Consider the following 22,224-nt stretch of genomic DNA (forward strand, 5'->3'; position numbering starts at 1 on the left):
TATCTCTGGCCAGTTGGGTAAAAGCTACTCTTCTCCCTACCCCTGTTTTGGCTTTTCTATATTTTATCAGTAAACTTCTTGTGCTTTTACAGTAAGAAAACAAAATAATAGATGTTATTTTCAACTTTTAAAATAGTTCTAAAAACCCTACTCTTCTTTCAAGCGGCTCAACTTAGTCTTTCCTTCACAGATTTTCCTGCCATTCACCAATCAGAAATAATCTTTACCTTTTCTATCACATATTTTTGTGTTTATAGCAGCATCTCTCATTCTATGATTATATTTTAATTACATGCTAGAACTCCCACAGTAACCAGTTGGTACCATGAACAGGGATCACTCTGTTGAATGAATGAATTCATGCTGATGGCAATTTGAAGTAGTTATTTTCTTTAAAGGGCTTAAAACCTTATTAGAGAGACAATACATGTCAAGAAAAATATAAAATAGATGTTAATTTATAAGACAATAATTGTCAAGTAGTATATAAATGTGGGGTGTATAGTACGGTCAGTACTAAAGGACTTCTTTAAACACTGTCAGTAGAATCCTCTTTCATAAAATGAGATTCAGGGATTATGGCTGAGATAGGTGCCAAAAGGAAGTAGTTTTACTTGGAAAAATACTTCAGGAACATTTGAAGGTCAAAATTATGAATGCAGAGGCACAGACTAGAGTCTGCGAATAGTCGCAGCCCACCCTCCCCAGGCCTCTCATAGAGGCTCTGCACAAAAATAGTCTGTGGCAGCAGTAATCTACTAAGCAGATGATCTGCACTGATAAAAAACCATTGACTAGTTTTGATTTACCTACCTTTTCTGTTTTCTTAGTGATGGTTATTAAAGTGACAAAGAGAAAGACTACATTTGGTGGGGGTGGGGATCCCAACTTAAACCTTGTAAGAGCATCTGCTGGGAGGAAAGAAATGAACCAGAGATATCTTTTTGTCTCAAATCAAGTAAATATTTAGTGAAAGATTGGAATGTCATTCATGCTTACTACATTCAGATGTAGTATAAGAAAAACAAGGCATCCCGAATAGATTTCTTCCCCTAAAATTAAAAATTAGCCTATGGAACTATACAGGTAACTCTTAGGATTCAGTCAGATTCCAGACTTAGTGATACTGACTGGCACATCTGCAGACTTCATGGGAAGAAACAGTGATGAATCAAACGACAGGGATGAAAAGAGATTCATGAGGCATCCTGTCCACCAGGAAACCTTGCTGCATCCTAAATGCAAACTGGTTCAGTTCATTTTCTCTCATCTCCTTTCTCTATTAGTATATCAATAACTTTTCTTGAAGAAATATATACATAATTGCAAATGGTGTTGTCAGTGTTTCATAAGAAGAAAATTCCTGTTCTGGAAGCATCCAGTCGTAACTTGCTGTGCAAAATACTATGTCTTCCCTACTTTATTCATTCTTAGAGCTATTAAATTTCGGTTCTCTGTGCTAAATAAATTCATCCAATCCTGGTTCAAGTAACCTCCTTCTTAGGTCTAGATACTGTTTTCATTACTGTTGCCTTTAATTTTGTCTAATTGTAAAATGCCGAAGTAGACACAATTTGGCAGCCCTTGAGAAGCACTGCCTGCTCTTCTCTGAGTCTGTTTTTGTAAGCAGAATGTCAACTGTCTGGGTCATAGAAGAAGAAACAAACCAACCTTTGGGACCAGACCAATTGTGTAGCTGTATAAAAACACCTAGAGAATTTTTCTATCTAAATTCTGAATTTAAGATGAAAATAGACCTCTAGTACCTGAACTTTCTCTTGGGAATCTGAAAGACTGATGACGGATGCTACATGTGGGAGTTGGAGAAAAGCCACACCTTGATATATTATCTTATTCTTTGCCATTCTTAGCATAATGACCTTTTTTCAAATTCTGTCTCTCCAAGGTGCACTAAAAGCTTTTGAGTACTTGTCATACATAAACACTAAATGCAAAGATCAAGAGAAAGTAATGTGTAAGATTAAAAATAGGAGCAATGGCTTAAAGTAAGATGCTGAATGTTGTTAATGTATTCCTCTTACAGCTTCGTTGTTTATAAAAGGTTCTTTATTTAAATATCCTTTTCAAATAGTGTCTGTAGGATGCTTCTGTAAGTAATATTTGTAGATTTAAAATTATGAGGCCATAAGTATCTTGAAATATTATTTTAAGTTCAGGGGTATATGTGCAGGTTTGTTAGATTGGTAAACTTGTGTCATGGGGGTTTATTGTACACAGTATTTTGTCACCCAGGTATTAAGTCTAGTACCCACTAGACTTACTGGGTTATTTTTCCTGACCCTCTCCCTCCTCCCACCCTTCATAAGCCCAAGTGTGTATTGTTCCCCTCTATGTATCCATGTGTTCTCATCGTTTAGCTCCCACTTATAAGCGAGAATATGTGGTATTTGGTTTTCTCTTCCTGCATTAGTTTGCTAAGGATGTTCCTTCAAAGGACAGGATCTCATTCCTTTTTACAGCTACATAGCATTCCATGATGTATATGTACCACATTTTCTTTATCCAGTCTACCATTAATGGGCATTTAGGTTGATTCCATATCTTTGCTATTGTGAATAGTGAGGCAGTGAATATACGCGTATATGTGTATTTATGGTAGAACGATTTTATTCCTTTGGGTATATGCCCATTATGGGTATATTAGACCCCAGTGCAACCCCAATGTGATTGCTTGGTCTAATGGTAGCTCTGTTTCTAGGTCTTTGAGGAATCGCCACACTGTCTTCCACAATTATTGAACTATTTACACTCCAACCAACAGTGTATAAACCTTCCTTTCTCTCTACAACCTCACTAGCATCTGTTACTTACTTTTTAATAGCCATTCCGACTGGTGTGAGAGGGTATCTCATTGTGGTTTTAATTTGCATTTCTCTATCAATGATGAGTTTTTCATATGCTTGTTGGCCATATGTATGTTGTCTTTTGAAAAGTCTGTTCATGTCCTATACCTACTTTTTAACAGAGTTGTTTGGTTTTTTCTTGTAAATGTTTCTTAGTGGTCTAAAATATGTATGTACTTTTTCAGGAATGCTTTACTCTCAAGTCATTTTTGTACTGTTAATAGCTTTTAAAACAAATAGGGAATCTCCAAATGAGTAACATTTCATGGTATAACTCAGTCTGTTTCGTAAGAGTTCTTTCGTTTGAAAGAATTAGTCATTATAATCCCATAAGACAGTCATATCATTATTTGGATATTAATAGAAATGCCATTTTTTCCATGGGATAATATCTTAAAATACAAAAATAGTTTATTGAATTTTACTTGTACTGTGTTACCAAAAATAAAGGCCAAAATGAAAAGCTAAGTGCCATCTAGATCCTGTTTGTATTAGAAAAGGCTACATTAGAGCCTCACATTCCCCAGCAAGCCTTTTTCTCTCACAAATACGGTCCACAAGGGTGCTGGTCTTATGGAAATGACTGAACAAAAATCCCACCAAGATAATTTTTAGAAAGCAGAAAACTTAACTTATCCTCAGAAGCATTTTAATACATTTATTTTCTGGAGTTTAACTTAAATTTGACTGTGTGGCCCCTGTTTTGCAATCCCATGTAAAGAAATCCACAGTAACATGCCATCCCAAGTTCTTTATTAGTAACACCAGTAACTTTATAATTTTATATAGTTACAAATAGATATTTACTCAGGAAAAATAACAGATTCACACAAGACTTGCATATTATATATTTGTAAGAATCTTAAGGTGCCTATTTTTTTAATCACCTTTATTGCACTATAAATACAATAAAATGCACCAATTTTAAGGTACAGTTTGATGAGTCTTGCCAAATACATATAGTCATGTCATGTAATCATTACCACACTTCCATCATCCCCAAAAGTTCCCTCACACTGTTTTGCAGTCAGTATCCTTTTCCTATCTCTGGCCCTAGGGAACCACTCATCTGTCACTGTAGCTTAGATGTTTCTAAAATTGCATTTACATCGAGCTATGATCTCTAATGTCTAAATGATCGACATTTAGATCATTTCATTAGAACAAAACATATGCAGTATGTTTTGTTCTAGCTTTCTTTTTTGTAACTTATAATGCTTTTCAGATCTGTCCATATTATTGCGTATGTTAGTTTATGCTTTTTTATTTCTGAGTATTTCATTGTATGAATATATTACAGATTGTTTTCCAATCTCCAGTTGATAAACAGGTGGGTTATTTCCAGTTTAGGGCCATTATGAAGAAAGCTGCTCTGAATAGTCATATGTAAGTCTTTGTGTCAGTGTGTTATTTTTCTTGAGAAAATATCTAGAAGGTGAGTGGCTGGGTTCTATGGAAAAAAATTACATTTAGCTTTATAAGAAACTACAAAACTGTTTTCCAAAGTGGTTGTTCCACTTTGTGTTCTCACCAACAATGTATGACAGCTGCTATTTCTTCATGTCTTTGTCAACACTTGTTACCGTCAGTCTTGAGTTTTAGTCATTCTGGTGGGTATGTGCAGTGATATCTCATTGTGGTTTACATTTTTTTAAAATTAGAGACAGGATCCCACTGTGTTGCCCAGGCTGGTCTTGAACTCCTGCGCTCGATCCTCCTGCCTCGGCTTCCTAGAGTGGTGGGATTACAGGCATGAGCTACTGCACCCGGCCTAAAAATTTTTGAATAAAATACTAAACATTTTTTTAAAAACATTTCTGCTACTTAGTGTATTCTTTGATCATCTAACATAAATATGATTTGGAATATAAGGAAAACCTTAATACACTATTCTGGATGTCTGATAGGGTTTTAGACAATAACTTCATGGCAGTTTGATGAGGTTTATTTGTCTATTCTATAGCTAATAGATTATGAAAACATTCAGAAAATAAAGTGAATTCCTTATTGCATAGTGGTTGTTTTGCCTATTGTTGTATTAGTAGTCAGTCACCCAAATACCTAAGCTGCATAAAACCTAAACCAGTTAACATTTAAAAATAATGTTTGAGATTATAGCTGGAAAGTCCTAGTGGATTGGCTCATTCTTTCTCAGAGTCACATTTGCTCCCAGTAAGGTGTTTTCAGAGGCCTTCGTCAGTCTTGCTTCAAATAAGCTGAGCAGTGAAGCAGACACAACTTCCCCAAAATGACATCAGTGCCTTTTTAATAATTAGACCCCACGCTGGCATAGTGTGTTACTCCATAATTGCTGATTGTTTTCACATGGATAGAATTTGAATGACCCTGTCTTCCATTAGTGATAGTATTAAGATAGTCCAAGGTGGCCTCCATTTTTCTTTACTATTGTTAACTAAGTTGCTCTTTGCTTAGAAGGAGGTCCTCTGGTCCTTGTTTAATACTTGCTTCTAATGCTGCCTACTCCATTTGTGCTGATACTGCTGACATTCCATCTATTACATGTTTTATACATTGCTCCTTTCTGAATCATGTCTATATCTGTATTGAATTGTGTTTCTTTTATTCTTGCTCTTAACTATGTGTCTTGATTCTTGTTGTTTTCACTATATTTGCTGCATTTGCCATTTAGTATCATTAACATATCTTTTTCATGAATTCCACCTTTTAGAAATATGGTTCCTTTTATTCTAATTGATGCCTTTTCCTCAAATTTCATTTCCTGATAGCAATATTGTCACACCTTCTGTTTGGTAGCATATACTAAACAGTCTTGCCTTTTACATCCTAATCCTTATTTTCATGTATGTGAACAGGAGAGCAACTTTGGCATATTTTTACTTTTCACTTCCTCCCTTCCACTTAGCATGTTGACGCCATCTAAAATTTTGTCTCCATTTTTTAAACAGATGAATCAACAATTATGTAGTCGTAATTGTCTCACTTCTTTGCTCCTGTTTTTCCTCCCCATCTCTTCCCCTTTTGTAGATTCCCTTTTTACATTATAAGGAATAGATCCTTGAGTAATTCTTTTTTATGTGTGCTATTTGATGATGTATTATTTAACTAGGTCCTATCAGAGGAACATAAAAGTTCCATGAGGACATGAATTCTTGTCTTTTGTTGTTCCCTGCCTTGCCTAGAACAGTGCCTGGCAAATAGTAAGTGCTACATATATATTTTTTGAATGAATAAATTGTTTATGGAAACAATTATAAATTGTCAATCACATGTTACTACTTTCTGACACCAGGTATACCCCTACAAGAGGTGATCATTATTGATGACTCAGGGTCCTCATTATCTCTATTGCTCTAATTTGAGTGCCTCTAAATTAAATAGTTTCAATATGCCAGGTTTAAATTTTTCTTCTCTTTATATCAGACTAAAAGTGGTAGTAGTAGAATCCTCGGAGTATGGCATTTGCTGGCGCCAGAGGTATTCCAAGAAGCAGTTCCTAGAAGATGTTAACCAAAGGTCATCAGATCCAGAGAGGAAGGAAAGGAGACAACATGATTTTCAGAGGGAGGAACTATCCTCAGATGAGGGAAGGGTCACTTTTAGGGAAATAAAGTGCACACCACACAGGTGGGAGGAGGGAACTGGTGTGTGTGTGTGTGTGTGTGTGTGTGTGTGTGTGTGTGTGTGTGTATACACACATATATATCACAGACTCAGTCTTATGTACATATTGAGCAGAGTTGGGGAAAATCTATGACTATTCATGAGGGAAATCAGGCACTTGCATAGTGGGTGGTAAACATATGTAACATACATCCCATGTTCATTCTATGGTGGCGTTTTAGTATTAAAGTAAGGTGGAACTTGGCTCTTCATGCCCTGTAATTCACTTATTTGACATAAAGGCAATTTGTGTGCAGCCTTCAGCTGACCAAAACTGGCTGTCTATCAATAAACAATGTTTATAAAACAGGTCCTCTGTCTAATTGGAGTTATGGCAGGACCACAAGGCAGGGGAAAGGGGTTGTCAGCTGGCATCCAGCAGTCTATCAGGGTTGGTTGGGAAAATTTCCAGCTATAGTTGTTTCAGCAATGCTTCTCAGGAGCTGGTTTCTGCTTGATTACAGGAAAACTTATGGCACAACATTGGGACCAACCCCTCATCCTGCTAGCCATGAGATTTTCTTTTTTTTTTTCATTTTCTCATGTTAGCCTAGCCATAGGGTTTCCATCTTGTCTGTCTGTCTGTTGGGGTATATTTTAACAGAGATATGACTTAATAGCCTGGCAGATGTCAGTGCACCAAAGCTTGGAAGAGGGAAAATTTAGGTTTGTAACTCATAACAAGCCGGTTAAAATGAGTTCAAAGTTGAAGATGAGAAGCCAAGACAGAAGACATTATTACCCCAATGAGAAGGCACCTGCAACAGCTTTCTATCAGGTGTGAATGAGAAAGAAGCAAGTAATTAGCTCTGCTCCCTCCCTGAACAGTGATCATTTTTCTTCCATCTCTAACCCCAAGTCTGCCCATTCTTACTGTTGAGCTATCATTTGCACTATTAATCAATCTGTTGTCCCAGTTATCTATTGATTCATAAAATACCACCCCAAAGTATTTTGTCTTATAGTACAGTGTCTCAAAGTATAGTGTCTTAACACACAACTGTTTATTTCTTATTGTTCTGTCAGTTTGGGTCAACAGTTTGTGCTGGGCTCAGCTGAATAGTTTTCCACTGTTCTACTCAGGAATCACTTTTGTAGCTTCAGTCATTGGTAGCCTTACTAGGGCTGGAGAGTATAACATACCCTCACATTTACATGTCTGGGGCCTTTATGCTGGCTGTAGATTGAGTCCCTCTCATTCGACATGGTTTCTCACCTGGGCTTCTTTACATGGTATCAGGAATGTTCCAGAAAGACAAAAGTTGGAAGCTGCAAGGTCTCTTGTGGCCTACACTCCAGAACTTCATACCATCACTTCTACCACATTCTGCTAGGTTAGCCTAGATACAAAAGGGTAGAGAAGTACAAAATGTTACGGCTTCATTTTTCATATCACACCTGTGAGAGCCTACCTCTCAGCATTACCTTCAAACTTGAAATTTTCAATATTGCAATTTATGGGTTTGCATAACTATCTCTTCTTATAGAATTGAACTCTTTGAGGGAAGGAATTAGTTTATCTATATCTGCAGTATATAACAGAGGACTTGTTATGAGTAAGATCTCAATAAATGAATGGTGTGCCAGCTGGTTGATACGTACATACATATACATGAATGAATATCCTGTTTTACATGGCTAAATTCTGTGATTATAAGATTAACAGAAATGGTACTTTGCAAAAACTCCAAAGTAAATTGGAAGTATGTCTTTTCCATTTTAAAATAGTAGGGGTTTTTGTGTATATGTCAGTCAATAACCATAGAATGCAGTGTTCCTAGAACATACAAATTCATCTGCATAATAGAGACTTAGTAATGTTTCCTGATTCAGTTCCCAGATCAAATAACCAGAAATGATCATCTCTTTTCTACACCATCATTGTCAAATATGTTGGACCTTTTATAGTCCAAGTTACATTTTGTCTTTGGCGTGTATTTAAGGTCAGATTCATTACCATTTGTGCCAAAATAACAAGGTCTTAAAAGTAGTTGCAAATGTAGACCCAAATTACTTTGTAACTACAGTTCTTAAACCTTATGTCAGAATTCCTGAGGGCCTTCTGCCAGAATTGGAGTTAACAATGAATGCAACTATATTGCTTGATAGTAAAAATAGCCTACTAGTTCTGCCCCAGTGTAACCTTACCCTATCTGAATGGGAGTGGTCTGAGGGGGAGGTACTTGTGGACTAGGATTGTTGCCTATAGTCTAGACAAGCAGGGTAGTCAAACCTAGTGTCCCTTCCAAAGGTAGAAAAGTTTCAGTATGAATGAACAGAAGGAAAAATAGCTGAGGGTAAAGAAATGAACAAATGAATTATATGAGAGAAATCCAATATTATATTACCTTAAAAGAGGCTCAGAGCAAGAGATGACACTGTCTCTTAGCTTAATTATACCAAATGCCTGAAAGAGTGAACCTGTATGTTTTCTGAGACCACTCCTGCTTTGGAAGCCTGCAAACCTGAGTGGCCTCACTTTAGGAGACATATTCATACAATATGATGGACTGGACAAATTACAGTATTAATGACTAAATGAATTCTAGTAATGTCCCGGTATCTTTTAAGTCATATATTCTTTGGATGTAACAGATCCCGTTAGAAGACTGGGAGTTGACTGTGATATTGTGAAATATATATTGGTCTTTGTCCCCTTTTCCTGGCATAAATGACGTCTTTTTATATGCTAATGAGTTGACTGACAGCTGGCAACCCCTAGGGAGCTTCAGGATGGGGCCTAGTCACCAGAAAGACCAAGGCATGACTGGAGGGTTGGGACTTTTGTCTCCATCCCCCAATCTCTGGGGAGTGAAGGAGGGCTGAAAGTAAATTGGTCACCAGTGGTTTAATCAGTCATGCCTGTGTATTGAAGCCTCCATAAAAACCCAAAAGGACAGTGTTTCCAGAGCTTCCAGATAGCTAAAGATGAGGGAGGTGCTGGAGGGTGGTGCACCCAGAGAGGGCATGGAATCCCCTTCCCCATACCTCTTCATTTGTATTCTTCAAGATATTATTTATCATAAACTGGCATGTATAAAAAATATTTTGAATAATCTAAAAGGCCTACTACCTAACAGCACTAAAATGACCATTTGATGTTTCACAGAATTTTAAAATCCTATGTCTTAGTTCTTACATAAGTAATTCACATTGAATTTCACCAAGATCCTATGATACCCACTTGCCTACATTGCTGTACACTGTTGCTGAATGCTGTCAAGCAGCTGTCACATTATTCTTCCTGTAATTTGGAAATTGCTATAAATTTGCCAAATTCTTCCAAACCCTTCAGGCATGATAAATTTTACATTTATAGAAATTATTTTGTCCACCTGGAGTCTTTCAGACACTTTTATGTAACTGTGGTCTGCAAGTTAGTAAAAGCAAATTTCATTAAGAGACCAAAAGGACACATGTATATGCAAAGTTAATATTTGCTCAGACAAATAATCCTTCATGAATGCACAATGCAGATTTTTTGTGGATTACATCAAAGAATCACAAAATGAATAACAATCATGGAAGGACATTGGGTGAATATTTTAGGTAAATATTTTTAAAAACCTTTATCTTGTAGAGCTACAAGAAAAGTAGCTATGCATATGAAATCAAGTCTTAATACCATAAAGTCTTATCAAATATAATGCAGAATTAAATTGAACAAAGATAAAGAAAGCTTTCCTGACTATGGAAAGAAAATATATAGAGACAGAAAAGAAATTGAATTTCAGATCTTTGTTTCAAGATAAAAATGAATTATTATAAAATAGACCTGTATTCATAACTTAGACTCTATTTCAGTTTTCTACACTGCGAGCAATCATAGGACTGAAGGGAAATTTATTATAAAGTCACCTGGGATATTACTTCATAAACATAGAAAGCAACATTAGAAATTGAAATGGGAATAATGAAAATTTCATTTTAAAAGAATGTAAATGGGAGGCAAGGAAAGAACTGCTGAGATACATAAAAAAGTCATTACTTCTTTTGAATTCCTATAAATACTGAAAACTGTTTTCCATTAACAGAATACTGGTGCTACAATAAATATATTTCCCCTTTGTATGTTGGGACCAAAACTACTCTAAAAATGCTTTTTGTGATGATATGCCAGATGAAGAGTTTGCCATTTGCCACCCAGGAGTGTGGCCTAGGAGTCAGAAAACCAGAGGTAAATGTGCAAGCTGACCATGTAGCTGTGTCTGGTTGGGAGAATTTAGGGGACGTAGTCCATTATTGGCACTCTTGGTAAAGTACAAAGTCAGTGGCATCCCTTGTACAAAGAAGAAAATCTTGCAAAGAGTTAACCACTGCAGAACATTCAGTATCTAAATCTAGGTGCATTCCACTATAATTAGGGTGTATTTATTCATTAGTAGCTGAACATTTTGCAGACTATAAAAATTTAAATGTTCTTGAGGCTCATTATGGCACCTTGTGCATCACAGATTACACAGTTGCTCTGTATCTTTATGTGCCTTTTATATCTTAATTTAGGTCTTAGTGTGACTATGTATATCACTTCATGAAATTATAAACCATAACAAATGATTATGGAGGAATTGTTATATGCCCTTATAGAAAATAGAATAGAAAAAAATGCATATTTTAGTCCTCCCAATATATTCTTATTCCATAGCCTAAGTGCCAAGTCAGGGGCTTTATTTCATTCATCTTAAATGGGAAAGAAAATAGTTCCCAGGAACAAAATGGCAGAAATCTATCTACTCAGGGATTAAAGAGTATAACTTTTATCAAGATAAAATGAATAGTATTTCAAAGAAACCAAAAGAACACTAAACACTGTGGAAAACAAAGAACTAGAGCTTTGGAGCAAAACAGATTCCATACTCAGCCACTTACCAGCTATGTGATCTTGGGCAAGTTATTTAATCTCTGAGCCTGTTTCTGTATCCATATACAAAGACATCTATGCCTCTGAGTGTGATTGTTAGGATTAGGGATAATAGGTTAAGTTCCTAGCATTGTGCCTGACACATAATAGGTGTCAATCAATGGTTACCAATATTCTTACAGGGTTGGGAAGTGTGATTTCTTGGTTGTAACCCACAGTTACTCAGCAAAGGCAAGCTAGAGGATACTTCCATTGCTATAGTTGAGCTCCTGGGTAGTGGAAATCTTTTAACTTACCCTCTGAGTGTGACTTGCATTCATTAGCTGCTGACACCCACTGTTGTATTGTCAACATGGAAAGCTCTTTGCCAGGACCATCTACCACCTCTGTGAGGCTAGATTCATCTGGCTAGTTACAGGAAGACAGTGCCTTTAACCTGGAGTATACAGGACGTTAGAGTTGAAAGGGTCATATGCTAGCCACCAGCTGGTGCACCATGGACCCGTGGTTCCTCCAAATTATTGCAAGTGTTCCAAGTGTCTATTCAGCATCACCTGATACAGAATAATGTCTTGCATATATCTATCTATGTGCACTATTCTTTTACTGTTGTGATTAGTAGAGTGTAAATTCACTTCAAAACATTGTCAAATTCTTAGTAGCTTTTCATCATGTTGTATTTTTGCTGTCAGCCATTATAAAACATGACATCAGGGTTGATGTGTGGTGCAAAGGATCATAAAATTGTTCGACATCATTCAGCAGCCCTCATGCTCAGAAAATCAAGAACTGGTGCTCTCATTTCCAGGGTCCAGGAAAATATGGAACACATAAGCTTATACAGCTTATTAAAGAAAACACTGGGTGAAAACTCTGTTAATCCCTAGTCCAGAACTTCCAACAATGCAAATGTTTGTATCACTGCTTATGGAAAAAATCTGTGGAAGTATTTAGTGTACAGATTAGTATGCATGAAGTTGAGTATTGAAAGAGCATGGGTTATATGAAAGACATTTAAAATGGTATCTGGCACATATAAAGGACTCAATAAATGACAGCCATTATCATGACGGCTATTCAGTAAGAAGTGGTTTTGTCACTTTTTTCTGTCTGTTGCTCAGGTAACTTATTGCATCCAAGTATAACATTTTAAGTTATGTTATTTGTCACTCAGGCAAGTACTTCTGTTTTCACTTCATAGTCTCAGAATGGGAGCGGGTGTATGTTTTTTAAATCTCTCTTCCAGAAGTCTTTTAGGAGTAGACGCTATTGCCATCAATACTGAGACTAACTTCTGAGCCAGGTCCTTGTAGTGCATTTTATTGTAGCCTCAGACAGCTAGTGGCCTTTAATTTGTTTGCTTAAGACAGAGCTCAGTTTTGTTATTAAATTACCCAGTAAAATTTGATATGTTCATCATCACTGGCCATCAGAGAAATGCAAATCAAAACCACAGTGAGATACCATCTCACACCAGTTAGAATGGCAATCATTAAAAAGTCAGGAAACAACAGGTGCTGGAGAGGATGTGGAGAAATAGGAACACTTTTACACTGTTGGTGGGAAGGTAAACTAGTTCAACCATTGTGGAAGTCAGTGTGGCAATTCCTCAGGGATCTAGAACTAGAAATACCATTTGACCCAGCCATCCCATTACTGGGTATATACCCAAAGGACTATAAATCATGCTGCTATAAAGACACATGCACACGTATGCTTATTGCGGCACTATTCACAATAGCAAAGACTTGGAACCAACCCAAATGTCCAACAATGATAGACTGGATTAAGAAAATGTGGCACATATACACCATGGAATACTATGCAGCCATAAAAATCGATGAGTTCATGTCCTTTTTAGGGACATGGATGAAACTGGAAATCATCATTGTCAGTAAACTATCGCAAGGACAAAAGACCAAACACTGCATGTTCTCACTCATAGGTGGGAATTGAACAATGAGAACACATGGACACAGGAAGGGGAACATCACACTCTGGGGACTGTTGTGGGGTGGGGGGAGGGGGGAGGGATAGCATTAGGAGATATACCTAATGCTAAATGACGAGTTACTGGGTGCAGCACACCAGCATGGCACATGTATACATATGTAACTAACCTGCACATTGTGCACATGTACCCTAAAACTTAAAGTATAATAATAAAATAAAAAGAAAAAAATTTTTTATATGTTTCTGTGAACTGAAGAGATTAAAACATTTACTTAAATGTTTTTAATCTGTACCCCCACCAAGTTCCTTTAGACCAGAATCTTTATTAAGAGGTTTAACAATAGATCAATATTTATTTAAAATTTGTGCCTGGAGATTTGGTATTTCATTTCACAATGTGGCCCACAGGTGATAGGGAGCAGAAATATTGACTGAGAGAAATTTATATCTGACTATACAAATTTAGTACCCATTTCATAAACTATAAACCATCCAGATTAATCACAGTAATTAAATGCAAAGAAAGGTCCACTTGGGTTTTTCAGGTAAATTTAAGACAAGCTTTATCACTATATGTTTGGTTCCGAGTTATCTCAACATTCATATTTAGTATGAGTTCTCTTTCTTTATCTAGGAATATGATTTCTAAGCTAAAGAAAAGAATATGTGGAATCTGCACTTGTAAATGTCCAACCAGAATTCTCTTACAGGGAACTCACCCAAGGAAATGAGATAAAAGATCCAAAAGCAGCAAGCACTTCTCTGTGCTGAGCATGGCCATTTTAAGGGAAGCCAGATGACTTGCAGTATTTTCCATAAGTGATTCCCATTCAGTCAGCTGTGTCAGGCAACAACTTGGTTGTTTTGTGTTCCAGCCATTAGGCAGCAACCTCATTGAAGGGAATCACCACAGGCCTCTGTTTCTCCAGAGAGAGGAATCTTACTCCAATATAGTAAATGGACTCAATGGTTGAGGCATCCAAGCCACCAGTAGGATCTTCCTCTGCTATTGAGACGAAATAACCCGATAGAGAATAAATACAGCAGGGCTTAGCCCTATACAAATTTTTTTATAAGTTATGTCTGCATTGTTGTCCCCACCCAGTGCTCTGTCATAACCTTCAGAATTCTCCCAGTGCCCAAATTGACTATTCCTTAAAAGCCTACTTCATGCCTCACCCAGGCCTGCTCAACCAGTTTTCTCTTATTTTTTCCCACTGTCAGAACATATCAGCCCTGTCCTCCTAATCCCTTAAGACTGTGATGTCTATTCAATTATCTATTCAAATAATTTCTGCTAAAATATGAGTAAGTGGTATAATATGTACCTCCCCCCCCCCCACAAGTAACATACATGCATTTTAACAGTGGCTTTAAGTAAATGGGAAGACTGTATTCTGAGCGTCCTGACAGGTAGCAGGAGAGATCCTTCAAGAATAAGCAGTCATTTGCTCTCACAATAAATATCTGTAGGGCATTGAACCAACCCTGAACAAAAAAGCACAAATTATGCTCTCACTCTACATCAGTTGATAGCTGCATTCAAAGAGGCGGGACTTCTGTTTTCATCCTCCCAGAAGTCTGTGGCACTGGAACAGTTCTTCAAAGAGAGAGAACAGACACGCTTCCATAATGGTACTAATTTACAGCTGCAGGCTTCCTTTGGGGCCACTTTTAGAAATAAGTGCCCTGTTAGTAATGGGCACAGAACTTGCCAGAGAGAGGTATGAAGTGCGGTAAAGGAGGTCGCAAAGGGAAGAGAAGAGGTGAGGAACAGTATGATGAGTGGAAAACACAGTGAGATCAGCAGTGCACTGAAATGAGAAATGTAGGGAGATTCCATATTTATGTATTCTGTTCAAAGGAAATAAGGTAGATTCTGAAATGGAAATAAGCAACATCTGACATGCAGAAGAAGCTGGCTAGCCATTTATTTTTTGGTCAATCTCTGATCCCATCACTTTCAGCTAAATAGTGGCTATGGTATTGCCTTGTTTTTGTTTTTGTTTTTTAAAAAAGGGCTCAACATACCACCTCTATTGCCAAAGACACCCCACCTTGCCCAACCTCAGTTTCTTGGTGTGCTCTAAGAGACAGTTTATGGTTCCACTTCTGTTACTGTGTGCAAAATTTTGCCAGAAACAGGCAATCCTACTGTCCTTCATCAGGACACTCATATTGTTTCAAAGCCGTTGGTGACATTTGGCTGCTTCATTAGAAAACAGATTTTTATATGTGTATTATGTAGGTTGTTTTGTTGTTTTTTAGGGGGCAGGGAGGGAGTCTGAAGTGTCACTTCCTTTCCTAAAGGTCATCCATTTTGGCTCTTATTTAAAGTTCAAAAGTTATAGCCATTGGCCATGGGTTAAGGTGTGTGTCATTTGATTACATTCTGAAAGAGAATTATTAGCTAAATTGAGAAGCATAGTAGGTGGCTAAAATTACAGACTCTGGAGCTGCGCTGCTGGGATTCAATTTCTGCTTTCCTCCGCTTACGGGCTTTGTGACCTTGGGCAAGTTGATTAGCTTCCTGGGCTTCAGTTTTATCATCTATAGGAATGGAGATCATAAGTACAGTAATTTCTGAGTGACTTAACGTATAAAAAGTGCTTCAAATAGTACCCAGCATATAGTAAATACTATTTAAGTTGGTTTTAGGAGAACTAAACTGAGTGTCTTTTATATTCATGTGAAGAGAAAATTGTCAAATTTAGTTGAATCTAATTAGAAAGGGAAAAGAGGCAGATTCCCCGATGCATTGTTTCTGAGGCTAAATTCAAGTCTTCCTATGATGAACGTACAGTTTTGTATGTGTGTGTGACTAACATTTATTGACACTGACTACTTTCTGTTTAAGTGGTTTATATATTTCATTTAATTCTCACAAAAACCTCATGTTGTAGGTACAATTATTATCCCCATTTCACAAATGAGAAAACTAAAGCTAAGAGTAAGTAAATTTCCAAACCTCCAAGAGCTAATAAATGATGTAATACTTAAAAGTTGATGCTTTTACCATATATAAAAAAGGATTGAAGACTTAAAATAAGATCTGAAACTATAAAACTACTTCAGAAAACATAGGAGAAATGCTTCAGGACATTGGTCTAGGCAAAGGTTTTATGGCTAAGACTTCAAAAGCTCAGGCAACTAAAACAAAAATAGACAAATGGGACTATATTAAATTTAAAAGCTTCTGCACAGCAAAGGAAACAATCAGCATAGTGAAGAGACAACCTGTAGAATGGAAGAAAATATTTGCAAACTATTCATCTGACAAGGGACTAAAATCCAGAATATCCAAGAAACTCAAACAGCTCAACACTAATCATTATGGAAATGCAAATCAAAACCACAGTGGGATACCATTTCACCCCAGTTAGAATGGCTGTCATCAAAAGACAACGCCAGGTGCGGTGGCTCACACCTGCAATTCCAACACTTTGGGAGGCCGAGGTGGGAGAATCGCATGAACGTGGGAGATGGAGGTTGCAGTGAGCCGAGATCGTGCCACTGCACTCCAGCCCAGGCGACAGAGCAAGATTCCATCTCCAAAAAACAAACAAACAAACAAACAAATAACAAATGCTGGCAAGGATGCAGAGAAAAGGAAGCTCTTATACACTGTTGGTGAGAATGTAAATTAATATATATATTATGGAAAACAGTGGGGAAGTTTCTTAAGAAAAAAAACTAAGAGTAGAACATATGATCCAGCATATTTGTCCAAAGGAAAGAAACCCAGTATATCAAAGGGATACCTATGTTTATTAAAGCACTATTCACAATAGCTAAGATAAGGAATCAACCTAAATGTCCATCAACAAAGAAAATGTGGTGTGTATACATACATGATAGAATACTATTTACCTGTTTAAAAAGAATGAAATCCCGTCATTTGCAGCAACATGGATGAGCCTGGAGTACATTATGTTAAGCAAAATAAGTAAGGCAGAGAAAGATAAATACTGCGTGTTCTCACTCATATGGGAGCTAAAAAAATCGAGCTCATGAAGGAAGAGAGCAGAATTGAAAGGTACAGGAGACTGGGAAGGGTAGAGAGGTGGGGAGGATGGAAAGAGATTGGGTTTGTAGATACCAAAAATATAGCTATATAGAAAGAGTTCTGGTGTTCTGTAGCAGTGTAGAATGAATAAGGTTAATTTATTCTATATTCTCAAGAAGGCAGAAGGGAAGATTTCAGTGTTCATGACACAAATGATAAATGTTTGAGATGATAGATATGCTCATTACCCTGATTTGATCATTACATATTGTATACACATATCAAAATATCACTGTCCCATAAATATGTACGATTATTATATGTCAACTAAGAATAATAGGGGAAAGAAGTAATGGAACCGTATACTCGCAGTTGTCAACAAAAAAAGTAAATAAATCTGCCAAGGAGTACACTTGGCCTGTGTGGAGGAAATTATTAACATTTTCTGAAGGACATCAAATGATATTAGAATAAATGTCAGAACAAGAAATGTACAATTAAAGTCAGGTTTGTAAACAAATATATACATGTAGTACAAGTTTTTATAATAATGTATGTATCTAAATGTATAACAATGAGTCAAATGAAACTGGCAAAGTCTGATGGGAAACGTTTGGTCACATTCTTTTGTGTTTAAATTTTTAAAGAACATGTATCAGTGTATAAGTGATATAAAAATTATTAGAAAATAACGTAATTCATGTATTTTTAAAAGTTGGTGCTTTTAACTACTGTAATGTCCCCCAAATATGCTTGCAGCTAACTATATAAATACATTTTTATAATAATTATCCCCTTTTTATCAGAATATAGTAGAGCAAATGAAATATGCTTCATTTAATCCTCACTCCCTGGGTTGTTGGTTTTATGCCATGTTTCAGCCAGAATCAGGAAACTCCAGGGCCTTAAAGAGGTTTTCTCCTCATAAGTGCTAGTAGTTATTTGTGGCTCAATATTATCCAGACCCAGTGGGAATAGTTTTTATGCCAAAAAAAAAAAAGCAAAAATTTCTCTAACTTTTTTTACATAACAGCATTGCAAAGGAGAACTCTGGCTCAGCCTCATGGTGATTCCTGGCTTACTGTACGATTTGCTGTAAGAGTGAACATAGCCACAGAACAAGACGTGCACCATTGTGCTTTCTAGACAGTGAAGAAAATTTACTCATCTCCATTGCCTGCTGGCCTTGGCATTCCTGTAACTGCTCTCTGTTCTTATTTAATCCTTAATTAACCTGTCTCATATTATGTATGACTTGTAAGACACCTCTGTTACACACTCAGAAGTTTGAATCTTCAAATAAGATTACTCGGCAGACATAAATGGAACATTTCCATCTCCTTTTGGCAGTGAGCAGCATTTGCTGTTATATCCCTCTGCATGTGGTGAGATATAGCTGTCTCTGATACCTCAGGTGAATGACAACACCAGCCTATTATGAGATTTCTCACCTCTGAATTCATGTAGGATTTGCAGTCTATAACACACAGGTTCACACTGATTGTTCTCTAGCACTTTTATGTGTGAAGAGGCTGGGAGTACTAGTGTGTCTCCCAAAGTGTGACTCAGAACTGGGCAATAGTAGGCTTAATAAAGAAGAGAATAGAGAGAAAAGGAGGAAAAGTGTATGATTGCCTTATCTCCCAAATTAGATTGTTGGCTTCTTAGCCCAGACACCATATCCTTTTTTCTGTCTCCTTTAATACTTATTAGAATATTTGCAAACTGAGTATGCAGTGCCTGCTTATGGCCTAAAGGCCTAAGGTTTTATTTAATGCATAGATTATCTCAAAAAGATCCCATTTCCACTCACTTGAACTTAATGCAGCCCAAAGGAAGTAGCATTTTCTGTAAATGTTATTGAAATTTTATTTACACTGAATTGAGGTATCTCTAAATTAGTTTTAGATTGGCCTCTCATAGAACCGTGATTCTCATTTCAGAGGACAAATCTCTAAACTGGTGATGCAATGAAGATAGTTATGACAACAGAAGTGTATGTAGCTATAAAACATAGATATTACTCTGAAGAAAGTACTAACAGTGAAATCCTATACACGACTAAAGTGTTGCAGTGACTGAAAACTCATTCCGACCAAGGATGATGGCATTTGGCCCACTGACTAGAGTTGGGAGGTGCATACTATATTGCCATTGTACCTCTGCCAAAAAAATTAGTTGACTATACATATGTGGGTCTGTTTCTAGATCCTCTCTGTTCTATTCAATTGAGCTACAAACATTTCTACCAATGCTAAACTGTATTGAGAACTGTAGCTTTCTAGTGGGATCTGAAATCAGGTTAGGTAAGTCCTACAACTTTGTACACCTTTCTTAAAATTACTTTATTTTAGAGCCCCTCATTTCCATATACATTTTAGACTCCATTTATCTAGTTCTACAACACATCAGCCAGAAATTTTGGTTGTGAGTGCATTAAATCTATACATTAATTTGGGCAGAATTGCCATATTAATATTCACATATTTTTTAATTAATATTCACATGATTTTTTTCAGTCAAGTTTTGTAGTATAAAGGACTTGTCTTTTGTTAGATTTATTTTTAGATATTTGCCTTATTGGAACTACTGTAAATGGAATTTATTTTCCAGTTGTTTGCTGCTTACAAGAATACTTTGTGTATTTTTGCAGCCTTGTAAATCATTAATTCTAGTTCTTGTTATAAACATTCCCAAAGATATTCTGTGTAAAAAACATCAGATTTTCAAATTGAAAAAGACATAAGAGAAAACACAAAATTGAGAGGCAGATATCAGAAAAGTAGTAAAATTGTTTCCAAGAGAACCCTTTGACTAGAAGTGGTGAAAACAGGTATCCTTGCTTTGACCTCAATAGAAAAAAATTTAGCCTTTCACCATTTAAGTGTGTAATGTTAGGGATTTAAGTTTTTGTGTATGCCCTTTGTCAGGTTAAATAAATTCCTTAATATTTCTAGATTGTTTTACCAATGGGTTTGAATATTTGTCCAATGCTTTTTCTGCATCAGTTGGAATGATCAAGTTTTTCCCTCCTATGTTCTGTTACTCTAGTGAATAACATCGATTACTTTTAAAATGTTAAACCAACCTTGTGTTACTAGGACAAGCTCCACTTGGTTATTTGTTATTTTTGTATATGACTGTATCTGTAAGTTCCACATCTGTGGATTCAACCATCCAGAGATTTTTTTTTTAAAATGGATAGTTGTGTCTGTACTAAACATACAAACTTCCTTGTCATCATTCCCTAAATATAACAACTATTACATAGCATTTACAATGTATTATGTATTATAAGTAATCTAGAGATGATTTAAAGTATATAGGATCATGTGCATATGCAAATCTACACCATTTTATATCAGGGATTTGAGCATCTTTGGATTTTGGTATCTGAGGGGGGGTCCTGGAACCAATCATGGATCCCAAGGGATGGCTGTATATGAATTTGGTTATTGAATGTCCTCCCCACCAGAAATACTTTGGAAGATTAGAGTGGTCAGGAAAGAACTCTCTGAAGAGAGAGCGTTTGGGCTAAGAATGAATGAAGAGGAGCCAGCTATGCAAAACTGGAAGAACACTGGAGGCAAAGCGGAACAGCTAAGTGCAAAGGGTATACAGTGCAAACAAGCTTGCCTCATTTAGGGAACTCGTCCTGCATTTGGGGACAAAAAGAAGCCCAGTATGGATGGGATATATTAATGATAGGGAGACTGGACAAGATGAGGTGGGCTAGAGAGAGACAGGGCCAGATGCAGCAGAAAAAGAGTTGCCAAACTCTCTGGTACCTCAGCCACTTTCCAACCTTTGGGAAGCCCTAAGAATTGTCTTATCAGAGTCTACTCAGTATCTACTAGGCACATGCAGCTATTTAATGTAACTAAAAGTATATAAAATGAAAAATTCAGTTTCTTGGTCACACTAGCCACATTGCAGGTGTCCAGCAGCACATGTGGCAGATGGCTACTTTATTGGACAATGCTGCTCTAGGAAAGCCAAAGGAGAAATAATGCCAACTTTGCTTAGCCTCTTCTCTGTAATTTTCTCTTTTAAAGCTAGAATCGGTGTTTTTCTATTTAAATGGAAATATATGTGGTACCTAGAAAACTAGCATGTGGCCTACTCCATATGCATATGTTCTCATGGATGTTTTTTACCTATGACAGAAAAGATGAGGACTGGTAAATCACAAGCATTCTTAACCTCATTATAAATACATTGCAAATGTAAAAATGCAAAGTGTGGAAATCATAAATGTGAAAGTGGCTTTCAATTTGTTTTAATAGGCGTTTTCTGTGTCTTACTGTAACCTAGGGACCTTGCTGCAAGAAACTGCCTGGTAGGTGAAAATAATGTTCTGAAAATCAGTGACTTTGGAATGTCTCGTCAAGAGGATGGTGGAGTGTATTCATCTTCTGGCTTAAAGCAGATTCCCATTAAATGGACAGCACCGGAAGCTCTTAATTATGGTAAGAATAGACCACATTTTTTTTTTAATGGTAAAAATGAACGGCATCAGCATAAAACATTCACAAGCAATATTTACAGGGGTAGCACAGAATGCAAGTTAGAATGATTTGAGGATCAACACAAATAAGTGAATTTCATACTTTTAATTTGTTGAAATTATTGATCAGATTTCTATATGTAACATTGCTATATTAAAAAGGTAGATATAAGTACTTTTAAATATGACTATACATCTGAGAAAGAGTTTTTATACCAAAAAAAAATGACTTTGTAATAGATTATACAGAGTAAGCGTTGTTGTGGCTCTGGACCATTTCTTTCGAATGTCTTATAATTGGTCCAATAACCTCATCTGATGTTAGGTTCCTAAAATATTAAGTCAATCAGTTCTTTAGTTTCTCACTCTGAAATCGACATGGTTTCTTAGC

At 36.6% G+C, this 22,224-nt stretch overlaps 1 protein-coding gene and 1 long non-coding RNA gene across 18 annotated transcripts in view, besides 1 other annotated feature; one reads left to right on the forward strand and one right to left on the reverse strand.

Annotated features, from left to right (window-relative positions):
- Positions 1-22,224, forward strand: part of FER (FER tyrosine kinase) — a 448,945-nt gene that overhangs the window by 411,210 nt on the left and 15,511 nt on the right. For 16 of the 17 annotated variants that reach the window (NR_146155.2, NM_005246.4, XM_011543269.3 and 13 more), the window contains one exon: positions 21,641-21,795. Coding sequence is in view for 15 of the 17 variants with exons in the window: in NM_005246.4 (NP_005237.2) it covers positions 21,641-21,795 (155 nt within the window). In the remaining 2 variants the exon portion in view is untranslated. Of the gene's footprint in view, positions 1-21,640; positions 21,796-22,224 lie in introns of those variants that run through there. The other variant, XR_007058589.1, reaches the window with a different exon arrangement.
- On the reverse strand, positions 3,601-21,647 carry LOC124901040 (uncharacterized). Its single transcript, XR_007058897.1, has 2 exons — positions 7,723-21,647; positions 3,601-4,594 (listed from the first exon to the last, which is right to left on the reverse strand). It is a non-coding gene; the product is annotated as an uncharacterized LOC124901040 (long non-coding RNA).
- Positions 11,408-11,963: an enhancer, noted in NCBI's record as "NANOG hESC enhancer chr5:108506215-108506770 (GRCh37/hg19 assembly coordinates)". NCBI's record gives its function as "activates a minimal SCP1, AML or CMV promoter by ChIP-STARR-seq in primed H9 embryonic stem cells {active_cell/tissue: H9 hESC(primed)}" and the evidence as "EXISTENCE:reporter gene assay evidence [ECO:0000049][PMID:30033119]".

Source organism: Homo sapiens, chromosome 5 (assembly GCF_000001405.40).
Source record: "Homo sapiens chromosome 5, GRCh38.p14 Primary Assembly".
NCBI classification, from domain to species: Eukaryota; Metazoa; Chordata; class Mammalia; order Primates; family Hominidae; genus Homo; species Homo sapiens.